Source organism: Homo sapiens, chromosome 7 (genome assembly GCF_000001405.40).
Source record: "Homo sapiens chromosome 7, GRCh38.p14 Primary Assembly".
In the NCBI taxonomy this organism is placed as follows: domain Eukaryota; kingdom Metazoa; phylum Chordata; class Mammalia; order Primates; family Hominidae; genus Homo; species Homo sapiens.
Genome location: NC_000007.14, coordinates 29,020,436 through 29,035,180, shown reverse-complemented (window position 1 = coordinate 29,035,180; position 14,745 = coordinate 29,020,436). Strand labels below are relative to the sequence as shown.

The 14,745-nt window shown below is 39.6% G+C and overlaps 1 protein-coding gene across 21 annotated transcripts in view, besides 2 other annotated features; it reads left to right on the top strand.

Annotated features, from left to right (window-relative positions):
* The window catches only part of CPVL (carboxypeptidase vitellogenic like), a 200,816-nt gene that overhangs the window by 160,271 nt on the left and 25,800 nt on the right, over positions 1-14,745 (top strand). For all 21 annotated transcript variants that reach the window (NM_001371268.1, NM_001371258.1, NM_001371256.1 and 18 more), the window contains one exon: positions 4,422-4,604. In NM_001371268.1, coding sequence (NP_001358197.1) covers positions 4,422-4,604 — 183 coding nt within the window. The remainder of the gene's footprint in view (positions 1-4,421; positions 4,605-14,745) is intronic.
* Positions 11,943-12,710: an enhancer, noted in NCBI's record as "H3K4me1 hESC enhancer chr7:29062087-29062854 (GRCh37/hg19 assembly coordinates)". NCBI's record gives its function as "activates a minimal SCP1, AML or CMV promoter by ChIP-STARR-seq in primed H9 embryonic stem cells {active_cell/tissue: H9 hESC(primed)}" and the evidence as "EXISTENCE:reporter gene assay evidence [ECO:0000049][PMID:30033119]".
* Positions 12,711-13,479: an enhancer, noted in NCBI's record as "H3K4me1 hESC enhancer chr7:29061318-29062086 (GRCh37/hg19 assembly coordinates)". NCBI's record gives its function as "activates a minimal SCP1, AML or CMV promoter by ChIP-STARR-seq in naive H9 embryonic stem cells {active_cell/tissue: H9 hESC(naive)}" and the evidence as "EXISTENCE:reporter gene assay evidence [ECO:0000049][PMID:30033119]".

The window sequence follows — 14,745 nt, the reverse complement described above, 5'->3', positions numbered from 1 at the left end:
ACATGAAAGCAGGTTGAAAAGCAAGAAAGAATTAATAATAATAAAGATGCTTTTCTCATCTCTGCCTTTTGACAAAGAGGAAGAAAAAGATGCTTGTGGTCCAAGTCACCAAATGCCGTCTCTTGGAAAGGCTTGAATTCTGGAATGAGTTTTTAAAGACTGTCTATGAATTAAAATTAAGCTTTTTACCTAGTTGTCATGAAAAAAAAAATGAGAGCTGGTATGGTAGTATTTGAATTCTTACAAATTATTTCTCCAAAAGACTCATCTTTTGCCAAACTGAGGTATCCAACCTCATAGCATTATTGTTCTTTTTTTTTTTTTTTTCCATTATAAAAGCATTCTAGGCTGGGTGCAGTGGCTCATGCCTGTAATCCCAGCACTTTAAGGAGGCAGGTAGATCACTTGAGCCCAGAAGTTTGAGAGCAGCCTTGGCAACATGGTGATACCCTGTCTCTACCAAAAATACGAAAAATAGCCAGTCTCATAACCTGGTCTCTAAATTAATTAATTAATTAAACTTTTTAAAGAATTATTTTGTAAAAAACGATGAGAACACATGGACACATGGGGGGAACAACACATACTGGGGCCTGTCAGGAGGGTGCAGGGGGAGGGAGGTAATGGATGCTGGGCTTAATACCTAGGTGATGAGATGATCTGTACAGCAAACCACCATGGCACACATTGACCTATGTAACAAACCTGCACATATACCCCTGAACTTAAAAGTTGAAGAAAAATAAATCAATAAATAAAAAGCATTCTATGGCCAGGTGCGGTGGATCATACCTGTAATCCCAGCATTTTGGGAAGGAAGCTGAGGTGGGCAGATTGCTTGAGCCCAGGAGTTCAAGACCAGCCTGGGCAACATGGCGAAACCCCGTCTCTACAAAATATACAAAAAAATTAGCTGGGTGTAGTGGCATGCACCTGTAGTCCCAGCTACTCGGGAGGCTGAGATGGGAGGATGGCTTGAGTCCAGCAGTTGGAGGTTGCAGTGAGCCAAGATTGTGCCATTGCACTCCAGCTTAGGGGAACATAGTGAGACTGTCTCTTAAAAAAAATTTAAAAAAAGGATTGTAACCACATTTGCCAAAAACAAAACAAAACAGAAACCTAGAAGATAGCCAATCTAAAATAAATCAACCATAGCTCAAATAACTGTATTTTGATTTGTTCTTTCCCCAGGTTTGAAGCATTTTTAAATATGTGATAATTAGAGTACAAACAAGTGAAGTCTCAGTTTTTCATTGATTTTTTTCATAAGATAAGCATTTTTCTGTGACATTGCATAACCATCAGTTTCACTAAGCTAAGCAGCCAGCCCTCTAAGGAGTAAAAGAAGTCTCTAAAAGCAGTGGCTTTGCTCCCTTACCAGAGGCCTACAGCTGACCAGAAAGGAAAGTGAGGAAATGCATGTTCAGGGCACTGCCTAGTACGTCGCTGGAGACCAACTCCAACCAGCTCTTTCCTTGTTCCTTGTTTTGTTCCAATCACTATTGACAAGGGAAGTGTAGCTAAAAGCTGCATTCATCTCTGTCTCCTCCCTTCTGTCTTTAGACCTTGTTGCTTAAAATACCAGCAAGCCTTAGGGGTAAGTTTGCTCCAGAGTGTCCCAGTTTTAGCACTGCATGTCTTGCTGGGCAACTCCTGTCCAGGGCAAACTGGGACAGTTGGTCACCCTACCGGGGGAGAAGTGGGATGAGTGTGTAGACATATTTGGCCAACCTGTCCTTGTCAGAGCTAAGTTCCTCCCTGGAACTTTTCTATCAGGATGTGGGTAGCCAGCGTGTGCCCTTGGGCTTCAGGACCACCCCTATGCCGTGCCCACCTGCTTCTCATGCTCAGCCACTGGGTCCTAGGCTATCTCATCCACTCACCCAGCCTAGAGGCACCTAACTGGGATATTCCTATAGGGGCTCATGAGAGTAAATGTGACATTTAGGTGCAAATAAGAGCTCTGGAATTCTTATATTTAATGCTGGCCTGCCTTTGAAATCACTTCTCATGATCGTTATTCTGATTTCTTTTTTGTTGCATTTGACTTATGTGCCCTTCAGAAATACAAAATGGTTTCCTTGCTTTGCAAAGGAAGGATTTCCATTTGTACCCAAAAGTAGACCTTCTACACATTGCCTGTGCGAGATTGTGCAATTCAGCTCTTTGCTGTTTCTTGGTCCAGAGAGTTGGTGCTCTTGTTATGATAAGTCTTGACTAACAAGATAAGTCTTGACTAACAACTCAGGGATGGTCCTCATTCCATGTCAGTTCAACATGTAATATAATGCTGTACATATAAATGTGTTTTTGCTGTAACATGGGGACTTTGCTATTGTCCCTTAAGGATGAAAAAAACATCACATTGATTTCAAAATATAGTAATGATTGTCAGTAAAGAAAGCTGTGGGAGACACATGAGAGATGCAAGCTGCCTGTAGTGGCCATGGAGAGTAAAATTAAATGGATGCACTATGAATTTGCTGATTGATCAGCATCTTTTACACTGAATTCTAGAAGAAGAATCACTTTATGCTTGATGATCTTTGCTAATCAGCTATAATCAGGTCTTCGTAGAATGGTGAAGTAATTAAGTCTTGTTCACTGGTACTAATCATATATAATTGTTTCCATACTGTTGGCCAAAACAACTATAGGAGGTTTTGCAGAGGCCATGAGTACTCAAGGTCTTTGAGGTAATTTCTCTATATAAACAATGCAAATATTTTATTACTGGAGTTCAGTTGAATTTTTTTAACAGGCTTTAAATCTATCAGGATTTTCCTGTGGGTTTCTTCTTAGGAGAGTGGGGGTGGTGATGGTGACTGAGTAACATGAAAGGCCCCGTGTTCCTGCAGTGGGGGCCCAGGGCTCTTTCATCTTAGTCTGACTGCTGTCCCACTGCTGCTTGAGGATTTGGAGTGTGTAAAAGTCCTGGGCTTTTTAATTATGTTTGAGCCTTTTAAGAACCCGCACCGTAAAGGGAAAGACGGAAACTTATGCAGTGAAATATTTTATATCCAATTTGAGGATTCAACCAAAGGTCTCCACTCGGGCCAAATCAGAGCCTTCAAATAGATCAAAAGTAGCATGGAGTTGAGGCCGACCTCTTTGTTGGAGGTGGAGTGGCAATACTTTATGATAATTAATATGTTAGTTGCATAAAAGTAGCGTAAGAGTAGAAAAAAAGGAGAGTATATTACTCAGATTTCCACCATCTAAATATTAACATTTTTCAAACTTTGTATTCCATATATGTGAATATGTACATTGATTTTTATAGTTATAGTTGTGATATACATTATACTTGACTTTCTGCTTTCATACTTAACATTATGTGATAAGTATTTCCCACATTGCATCATGGTTCAATGAAACATTTTAAATGGTCTTATAATATCCTATAGAATTCTTATACTGTTGTGCATTTACCTACTCAATTATAGGACTTCTGGATTGTGTTTGAGTTTTTCATTATAAGACTCAATGAATATATATAATTTTTTAAAATTTCTTTGGACCTGTTTTCCTAGAATATATTCTACAAGTTGAAATTACTGGGACAAGGAATTTCAACATTTTTAAGTTTGGGGGCAGAAAATTGGCTACTGATTTTCTGAAAAGAAGAGCCATTTTATACTGTCCCCATTAGTTCTACAACTTTATCAGAATTGGGAATTATCTGAATTATTTTTTCAAGCAAATTGAAAATTGCTTTAGGATTAATGAAAAGAGTTACCTCAGTGTTGTTTTTCCTATGATAAACATCAGTTTGACACATACAAAAAATTGTATTCTAGGAAGAAAGAACATTCCTCACTGTTGACAAGCAGCTATCATATTTTTAAAAAGGAAGTTTTGCAAGTGGCATGGCAGGCATAGTTGCTTCCAATAAGAAACAAATTTGAGGCACCTGAATCTCTCTGTCTGCTGCTGCAAAAAAATTATACTTGCTACTGAAATCAATGTAGGAGAGGAGAGCAATATGGATTAGCAATACCCAAGAGAAAGCTCAGCTTGCCAGCGACTGCACTGCCTGAAGTTGAAGTTAATGAAATGCAGGCTTCATGAAAATCCTAGGGGGTAGTATTCCTTAGTTCCACTAAAATGTAACCACAGTCTTCCTTCTTAACATAGCCATAAGTCCAAGTAAAACCTGTATATATGTATCACTGAGTAATACAACACAAATGTTTTTGCAACCAAGAGAGGCCTTTATGCAGATTACTATGAAGAATTCAGTGGTAGAGACAAGGCTTGAGTTTATTTCGGATTGTTATTCTTTATGGCTAACTAGAAGAAAATCTCAGAGAGATTCATGTCTCTTTTTCTCTCTCACTGGCTCACTATTTATACCTAGCTCGATTCATGAGCTTCACCTCCTGAATCTTGCATTTGCTGATGGCTTGATTTCATTTCAGGTTCTGATCTACAATGGCCAACTGGACATCATCGTGGCAGCTGCCCTGACAGAGCGCTCCTTGATGGGCATGGACTGGAAAGGATCCCAGGAATACAAGAAGGCAGAAAAAAAAGTTTGGAAGATCTTTAAATCTGACAGTGAAGTGGCTGGTTACATCCGGCAAGCGGGTGACTTCCATCAGGTAGGAAGATGCTTGGGAGCAGGCAGGTTGTGGGAATGGGAGAGCGGGATTGAAAATAAAGCCTGAATAGCAATGAGACATGGCCGACCTTAAGCAAAGCCATACAACAGCCAGTGTGTGTCTTCTGTGGCCCTACTTTCCACAGAGAAGAGTGGTCTGAGTTCAGACATACATAGGACTAAATATAAAACCAGACAAAAGTTTAGGCATTGTTCAAGAGGTAAGGAGACAATTCATTAAAAAGACAGTGCTCAGTCCAAAGAGGCAAATCATTAATGAGAGAATTGCAGTCTATTTGGGGAGAGAACTTGGCAAATTATAAAGGAAGTTTCAACACAATCTCCTCTGGCAAATGTATGATCACATTTTTATATTACATGTGGAGCCTCAGGACAAAATCTCTCTAGCTGACACCCTAGTGCAACTTCCACTGCGGGGTCAGATGTTACTCTCATCATCTTCCTTTCTTGCAATGTCCTCTTCAAGTGTTGGAATCATGGTTATACTGGCCTCATAAAATAAGTTGGGAAGTGTTTCCTCTTTCTGTTGTTGGAAACGGTATCTTTAAGTGTTAGGAGAATTCACTGGTGAAGCCATCTGGGCTTGGAGATTTGTTTGAGGGAAGGGTTTTGTTGTTGTTGTCGATATGTAAGTGTACATCTTTATAGAATACATGTAATATTTTGATACATGTATTTAATGTTAATGACCAAATCAGGGTATTTAGGATATCCATCACCTCAAACATGTATCATTTCATTATATTGGGAACATTTCAAATCTCTTCTAGCCATTTTGAAATATACAATATATCGTTCTTAACTATAGTCACCCTACTGTGCTATTGAACACTAGAATTTATTCCTTCTATCTAACTGTCTGCACCCCTTAACCAATCTCTCTTCGTCTTCCCACCCATCCCCACTTCCCAGCCTCTGGTAACTATCATTCTATTCTCTACCTCCATGAAATTAACTTTTTACGCTCCCACATGTGAGTGAGAACATACGATATTTGTCTTTCTTTGCCTGGCTTATTTCCTTTAACATAACGACCTCCAGTTCCATCCATGTCACTGCAAGTGATAGGATTTCATTCTTTTTTATGGCTTAGTAATATTCCATTGTGTGTATATGCCACATTTTTAAAATCCATTCATCTGTTGATGGACACTTAGGGTGATTCCATGTCATGGCTATTGTGAATAGTACTATGATAAACATGGCGTGCAGATATTCCTTTAATATACTGATTTCTTTTCCTTTAGAAAAATATCAAGTAGTGGAATTGCTGCAGCATATGGTAATTCTATTTGTAGTTTTTTTTAGAAACCTCCATATTGTTTTCTATAATGGCTGTACTAATTTACATTCCTACCAATAGTGTATGAGTTCATTTTCTCTGCATCCTCATCAGCATCTGTTATTTTTTGTCTTTTTGGTAATAGCCATTATAACTCCAATGAGATGATACCTCATTGTGGTTTTAATTTGCGTTTCCCTGATGATTAGTGATGCTGAGATTTTTCCATATACCTGTTGGGCACCTGTATGTCTTCTTTTGAGAAATGTCTATTAAGATCCTTTTCTCACTTTTTTTTTTTTTTTTTTGAGATGGAGTCTTGCTCTGTTGCCCAGGCTGGAGTGCCGTGGCAGGATCTCTCGGCTCACTGCAAGCTCCACCACACCGGTTCGCGCCATTCTCCTGCCTCAGCCTTCCGAGTAGCTGGGACTACAGGCGCCTGCCACCACACCCGGCTAAGTTTTTCTATTTTTAGTAGAGATGGGGTTTCACCGTGTTAGCCAGGATGGTCTCGATCTCCTGACCTCGTGATCTGCCCCACCTTGGCCTCCCCAGGTGCTGGGATTACAGGCTTGAGCCACCACGCCTGGCCCTTTTCTCACTTTTTAATGGTATTATTTATGGTTTGTGCTCTTCAGTTGCTTGAGTTGCTTGTATATTCTGGATATTAGTCTTTGGTCAGATGGATAGTTGGCAGATATTTTCTCCTATTCTACAGGTTGTCTCTTCACTCTATTGATTGTTCCCTTTGCTGTGAAGAAACTTTTTAGTTTAATATAGACCCATTTGTCTGTTTATGGTTTTATCACCTATGCTTTTGGGGTCTTAGCCATAAAAGCTTTACCTACACCAGTGTCCTAAAGTGTTTCCCCTGTTTTCTTCTAGTGGTTTTATCATTTTGAGTCTTATGTTTAAGTCTTTAATCCATTTTGAGCTTATTTTACATGGATATGGTGAGAGATAGGGGTTTCGTTTTTGAGCTTATTCTATGTGTATATGGTGAGAGATAGGGGTTTAGTTTCATTCTTCTGCATATGGATCCCAGTTTACCCAGCACCATTCATTGAAGAGGGTGTCCTTTCCCCAGTGTATGTTCTTGTCAGCTTTGTCAGAGATTATTTGGCTATAAATATGTGGATTTATTTCTGGGTTTACTATTCTGTGCCATTGGTCTATGTGCCTGTTTTTGTACTAATACCTTGCTGTTTTGGTTGTTATTGCTTTGTAGTATATTTTGAAATCAGGTAGTGTGATGCCTCCAGCTTTGTTCTTTTTGCTCAGTATTGCTTTCACTATTTGGGGTCTTTTTATTTCTGTGACAAATGCCATTGGTATTTTAATAGTTATGCATTGAACCTGTAGATTGCTTTATTCAGTATGATCATTTTAACAATATTAATTTTTCCAATCCATGAGCATGAGATGTCTTCCATTTGTTTGTGTCCTCTTCAACTTCTTACATCAGCATTTTATAGTTTTCCTTGTAGAGATCTTTCACCTCCTTGATTAAATCTATTTTAAGGTTATTTATTTCTTTTGTAGCTATTGTAAATGGGATTGCTTTCTTGATTTCTTTTTTAGCTAGTTCATTATTAGTATATAGAAATGCTAGTGAGTTTTGTATGTTGATTTTGTATCCTACAACTTTACTGAATTCATTTATCAGTTCTAAAATTGTTTTGGTGGAGTCTTTAGTTTTTTCTGTATAAAAGATCGTGTCAGCTGCAAAGAGAAACAGTTTGACTTGCTCTTTTTCAGTATGAATGCCTTTTGTTTCTTTTTCTTACCCAGTTGCTCTGGCTAGGACTTCTGGTACTATGTTGAATAGGAGTGGTGAAAGGGGACATTCTTGTCTTGTTCCAATTCTTAGAGGAAATGCTTTCAGCTTTTCCCTATTCAGTATGATGATGTTTGTTGTATATGGCCTTTATTACGTTATGGTATGTTCCTTCTATGCCTGATTTGTTGACAGTTTTTATCATGAAGGGATGTTGGATTTTATCAGATGTTTTTCTTAATCTATTGAGATGAACTTACAGTTTTTGTCTTTCATTCTGTTGATGTGATGTATCATGTTTATTGATTTGCATATGTTGAACCATCCTTGCATTTCTGGGATAAATTCCACTTGATTATGGTGTATTATCTTTTTGATGTGTTGTTGGATTCTGTTTGCTAGTATTTTGTTGAGGATGTTTACATCTATATTCATTAGGGAGATTGGCCTGTAGTTTTCTTCTTGTGTGTGTCCTTGTCTGGTTTTCGTATCAGGATGATAGCCTTGTAGAATGAATTAGAAAGAATTGCCTCCTCTTTAATTTTAAAGAATTAGTTTGAGAAGAGTTTGTGTTAGCTCTTTCATATAAGTTTGGTAGAATTTGGCAGAAAAGTCATCCAGTCTAGACTTTCCTTTGTTGGGAGAATTTTTATTACTGATTCAATCTCATTATTCTTTATTGGTCTGTTCAAGTTTTCTATATCTTCCTGGTTCAATCTTGGTAGGCTGTATATGTCCAGGAATTTATCCATTCCCCTAGGTTTTCCAGTTTGTTAGGCTAAAGTTGTCCATAATAGTCTCTGATGATCCTTCGTATTTGTGTGGTATCGATTGTAATGTCTCCTTTTCCATTTCTGATTTTATTTATTTGGGTTTTCTCTCTTTTTTTCTTGATTAGTATAGCCTAGTCTAGTTTATTGATTTTATTTATCTTTTTTAAAAACAGGCTTTTTTATTTCATTGATCCTTTGTATTTCTTTTTAGTTTCTATTCCATTTAGTTCTGCTCTGATTGTTATTATTCCTTTGTTCTAATTTTGGGTTTAGAACAAAAGATAATGGGTTTGGTTTGTTCTTGCTTTTCTAGTTTTTTAAAGATGCATCTTTAGGTTGTATATTTAAACACTTTCTACTTTTTTGATGTAGGTATTTATTACTATAAACTTCCATCTTAGCACTACTTTTGCTGTATCCTATAGGTTTTGGTATTTTGCGTTTCCATTTTCATTTGTTTCAAGAAATGTTTAAATTTTCTTCTTGATTTCTTAATTGATTCAATGGTCATTCAGGAGCATGTTTTTAATTTTCATGTGTTTATACAGTTTCCAAAGTTTTCCTTGGTATTGATTTCTAGTTTAATTCCATTGTAGTCTTAGAATATACTTGATATGATTCTGATTATTTTACATTTGTTGAGATTTGTTTAATGGCATAACAAGTGATCTGTCCTAGAGAATGTTTCCTGTGCTGATGAGAAAAAAATGCATTATGTAGCAGTTGGATAACATGTTCTGTAAATGTCTGTTAGTTCCATTTTGTCTAAAGTGCAGTTTAAATCTGACGTTTCTTTCTTATTTTTCTGTCTAAATGATGGCCAATTCTGAGACTGTTTGTTGAAGTCCTCGACTATGATTGTATTGGAGCCTATCTCTCCCTTTAGATCCAATACTATTTGCTTTATATATTTGGGTGCTCCAGTGTTGGCTGCATATATTTAATATAATTGGGATGGTTATATCCTCTTGCTAAATTGAAAACTTTTTTTTACAATTTTTATCTTGAAATCTGTTTTATCTAAGTACAGCTACTCCTTCTCACTTTTGGTTTCTGTTTACATGGAATATAATTGTTTATTCCTTTACTTTCAGTCTGTATGTGTCTTTGCAGCTGATGTGAGTTTCTTGCAGGTAGCTGATATGGTTTGGATGTTTGTCCCCTCCAAGTCTCAAGCTGAAATGTGATTCCCAATATTGGAGATGGGGTCTGATGGGAGGTGATTGTGTGATGGGGAAGATTCCTCATGAATGGCTTTGCACCAATCCCTTGGTGATAAGTGAGTTTTCACTCAGTTCATGTGAGACCTGGTATTTAACAGAGTCTGGGACCTCCTCCATCTCTGTCTCTTGTTCCTGCTCTTGTCATGTGAAACACATGCACCCACTTTGCCTTCTGCCATAATTGTAAGCTTCCTGAAGCCCTCATCAGAAGCTGAGCAAATGTTGGTGCCATACTTGTATAGCCTACAGAATTGTAAGCCAATTAAACCTCTTTCCTTTATAAATTACCCAGCCTCAGGTATGTTTTTATTATGATGCAGAATGGCCTAACGCAGTAGCATATAGTTAGATCATATTTTATTTTTATCCGTTCAGCCGGTTTATGTCTTTTATGTGGGGAATTTAATCCATTTACATTCAAAGTTATTACTGATAGGTGAGAACTTATTTCTGCCATTTTGTTCATTGTTTTCTGGTTGTTTTATATATCCTTTGTTCCGTTCTTCCTCTTTTATTGCTTATCATTGTGGTTTGATGGTTTTCTGTAGTGGTAACATTTGAATCTTTTCTCTTTCTCATTTATGAGAAGCCAGTGAGTTTATACTTTCATGTTTTCTTGATGGTAGGTATCGTCTTTTCACTTCCAGTTATAGGACTGCCTTAAGCATTTCTTGTAGGGCCAGTCCAATGGTAATGAATGTCCTCAGTTTTTGCTTGTCTGGGAAAGACTTTCTTTTTCCTTCTTTTTTGAAGGATGGCTTTGTGGGTATAGTAATCTTGGTTGTCAGTTTTGTTCTTTCAGCACTTTGAATATACCATCTCATTTTCTCGTGGCTTATAAGTTTCTGCTGAGAAAACTGTTAGTCTGATGGGGATTCCCTTATATGTGCCTTGACAATTTTCTCTTGCTAATTTTAGAATTCTTTCTTTGTCTTTGACTTTTGACAGTATAACTATAATATGCCCTGGAGAAGACATTTTTGGATTGAATCCATTTGGAGATTTTTGAGCTTCCTGTTCTAGATGCCTATATCTCTTGCAAGACTTTGGAAGTTTGGGGCTATAATGTCATTAAGTAAGCTTTCTATGCCTTTGCTTACCTCTTCTTCTTCTGGAACACCCAAAATGTGAATATTTGGTTGCCTGCTTTATGGTGTTCCATATGTCATGTAGGCTTTCTTTGTTCTTTATTAAACTTTATATATATGTACTTTTTTGTCTGAGTTATTTCAAAAGACATTTCTTCTACTTCAAAAAGTATTCTGCTTGATCTCTATTATTGAAGCTCTTGATTATATTTTTTTGTTTCATTCATTGAATTCTTCAGTTACAGGATTTCTGATTGGTTCTTCTTTATGTATCAGTCTCTTTGATGAATTTCTCATTCTGATTATGAACTGTTTTTCTGATTTCCTTCTATTATTTATCTGTGTTATCTTGTATCTCGCTAAGCTTCTTTAATAACACTATTATGAAATCTTTACCAGATATGTCATAGATTTATTTTTCATTGAAATCTGTCACTAGGGAATTATTGTTTTTTTACACATATCACATTTCCTTGCTTTTTCATGTTTGTTTGTTTTTACATTGATATCTGTGAATCTGGTGTAACAGTCCCTTCTTCTGATTTTTTGAATTGACTTTTGTAGGAAAGATGTTTTCCAATAGATGTGTCTGTAGGGTTGGTTGTGTAGGGCACTTTGGTTTTGATTTTGGGTGGGCACAGTAATGTAGTCTTCAGATGACTTCTTCAGCTATAATCAGTGTCAGTGGTATCTTCGAGTTCCTCAGTGGGTTAGGCTGTGGTTTTTAGTAGACACTGTAGTGAGGTTTTGCTATGGATTGGGACACCAGGTGGGCCAGTTCTTTGGCACCAGTATGCTGTTTCTTGGGTTCCCAGGTGGCATACATGGAAACTGGTAGAAGCAGGTCTGAGTGGGCTGATCCTTGGGCCTTCATATTATTTGGCTGAGTCCCTACCCAAATCTCATCCTGAGTTGTAGCTCCCATAATCCCCACATGTCATGGAAGGGACCCGGTGGGAGGTAATTGAATCATGGGAGCAGGTCTTTCCTGTGCTATTCTCGTGATAGTGAGTAAGTCTTGTGAGATCTGATGGTTTTATAAAAGGAGTTCCTCCACACAAGCTCTCTTGCCTGCTGCCCTATAAGATGGGCCTTTGCTTCTCCTTTGCCTTCCATCATGTTTGTGAGCCCCCCTGCCACAGCCATGTGGAACTGTGAGCCCATTAAACCTCTTTCCTTTATAAATTACCCAGTCTCAGGTATGTCTTTATTAGCAGCATGAGAACAGACTAATACAGGCTTCCAGGTGACTTGCTAAAGTGCTGGCAGTGGCAGCAGTAGGCCAGGCTGGCAAGTGGATCACTGAACTCCTGGGCAGTGTGCATGGCATCACCAATGGCGATAGCAGTAGTGGGCACTAGCACTGATGGCAGCAAACTTGGTGGGCCAGTCCCCCAGCCCCAAGGTGGTACATATACAGGTGACTGCTCGTGGAGGTGATGGCAACAGGCTGGGAGTGGACATCCTCAGGTCCCTGGAAGGAATGCATGGGCTCCAGCATTGGCGGGAAAGGTGTATTGATCTCTAGGCCTCTGGATAATGTGCATATGCACTGGCAGGCTGGGGAGGCCTGTCCTTAGCACCCCCAGGTGTGGATGTGCAGGGCAGGCATATTCCCAGGCCTCTGGACAATGCCCACAGGCACTGGTGAGGGTGGGGCCAGGTGAGCTGGAGCTGTCCTCAGGCCCCTCAATGGTGTGTGCATACAAAGGCTGTGGCAGGCAGGGCTGATCAATTCCCAGGCCCCCAGACAACATGCACAGGCACTGGCAACCTGTGCGGGCCCATTGTCAGCTCCATAGAAGGCATGTATGCATGCCAGTGGCAGTGGGTGGGGTAGGTCAATCCCTAGACTCCTGGATAATGTTCATGGGCACAGGTGAAGGCAGTGCAGAGGCAGGCCTATGCTTAGGCCTCTAGATGGCATATGTGGGTGATGCGTGTGGCAGTGTGTGTGGTTGATCAATCCCCAGGCCCTCAAATGGCACACTAGGATGCCAGTTGTAGTAGCAATGGGTATCTTTAGGCACTTTGATGATGTATGTGGGCACCAGTGGCAGTGGGGGTGGTAGGTCGGCCTCCTGGTTCCCAGATGATGCGTGTGGGCACTGGTGGTGGTGGCAGACAGGCAGACCTGTTTTTAGGTCTCCTGGTGGCAAGCAGACCGGGTTGATCTCCAGGACCTTGGATGGTGTCCTTGGGCCAAGAGGCAGGCTAGATGGGCCTGTCCTCAGGTCCTTGGACAGTGCCTGGGTGAGCCAGTTCCCAGGCCCTGTTAAGATATGTGCAGGTGTGCAGCCACCCTGCTGCTGGGGGGTAAGGATTTGCTGTCAGTGGCAACAGCCCCAGGCAGGCAGCTCTCAGGCTCTGGAGAGTACATGCTTTGGCTCCCTTTGTCCCTAGGGCAGCCTCCCCAGTGTGTTTCACTACCCATTCCTTGGGGCGTAAGACATTGCATGAGCTAAAGTTTTGGGGACGCATCTGCACTGCTGGCTCCAGCCAGTATCGTGATGCTGTAAACCTTTGAGTAGATGTAGGGGGGTGTCTGCAGGGGTTCAGGGATGTAGATATGTAGTGGGTATTGGGCCCCAAAGGTGTGATGTAGTCTGGTGGGGGCCGGCCTCTCAAAATGGCACCATGCCGTAGCTGCTTGAATCTCAGGGGATGTGTGGGACCCAGTGTGAACATCTTCTGTAGAACAATGTCATTACATGGACTCCAGGCATCTCTTTATACTAGTCTCAGGGCTTGTGAGGGCTGAGGGGCTCTCCTGTGGCTAAAATTATAGGAGTCTGTGGTGGGAATATGGACTGCTGACTGCTGGGAATCTCTCATTTACCTTTTACCCACAGTGGGAGTTTCCCCTGGCTCTGAGTTGATCTTGGCTGGGTTAGCTGCTTCACTTCCCTTTCCTTCTATGCCTCAGAAGTTCCCAGTCACTTTCCTGCTGAATTCCATTGTTTTCTTTAGATGTTCTATTTGACATCTAATTATCTATTTGCCATTCTGGTCCTTCTTCGTGAAGGAGGTGACAGCCAGGTGCGTCAGGCAGCCATCTTGAAGCCCCTCCAACGGAGGGTTTTCAATTGCAGATTCAATTTCTAAAGTAGATATGGGATTACTTACCTTTTCTGTTTCTTCATGTGTCAGTTTTCATAGGCTGTAATTTTTTTTCAGGAATTTGTCTATTTCATCCAAAATTTCAGATTCATTGACATAAAGTTGCTTTATAACATCATCTTTTTTTTTTTCTTGAGACAGAATCCCACTCTGTCTGCCAGTCATGATCTTGGCTCACTACAACCTCCGCCTTCTAGGACATGAGGTCATATCTCAGCCTCCCAAGTAGCTGGGACTACAGGCATGTACCACCACACCTGGCTAATTTATTTGTATTTTTAGTAGATACAGGGTTTCACCTTGTTGGCCAGGCTGTTCTCGAACTCCTGACCTCAAGTGATCCACCCACCTTGGCCTCCCAAAGTGCTGGGATTACAGGTATGAGCCACCACGCTCGGCCTGTAACATCATCTTAATATGATTTAATGTTTCTTAAGATCTCTGGTGTTTTTAGTAATTAGCACCTCTCTTGCCTGAGGTTTAACAATTTTATTCTTTTCAAAGAACCAATTTTTATCTTTATTTTTCTTGATTATATTTTTGCTTTCTCTTTTATTAATTTGTGCTTTATCCTTATTATCTTCCTGCTATTCTTTTCATTGTGTGTGACTATTGTTTTTTTAAAAACAACATGAATTTTTAGCCTTTATTTCTAAAATATGCATCCAATGGGAGAAATAAATTCCTGTTGTTTAAGCCATCCACTATGGTATCCTTATAGGACTGTTGAGAGGGTTTGGATAAGTTAATAAGCTTAGAGCAATTCCTGGCTCATAGTAAATTTTGCTATTTTTATTTTTATTATTATTACCCTGGATTGCTTACAAGAGTACATATAACGAAGAAAAAATTATAAAT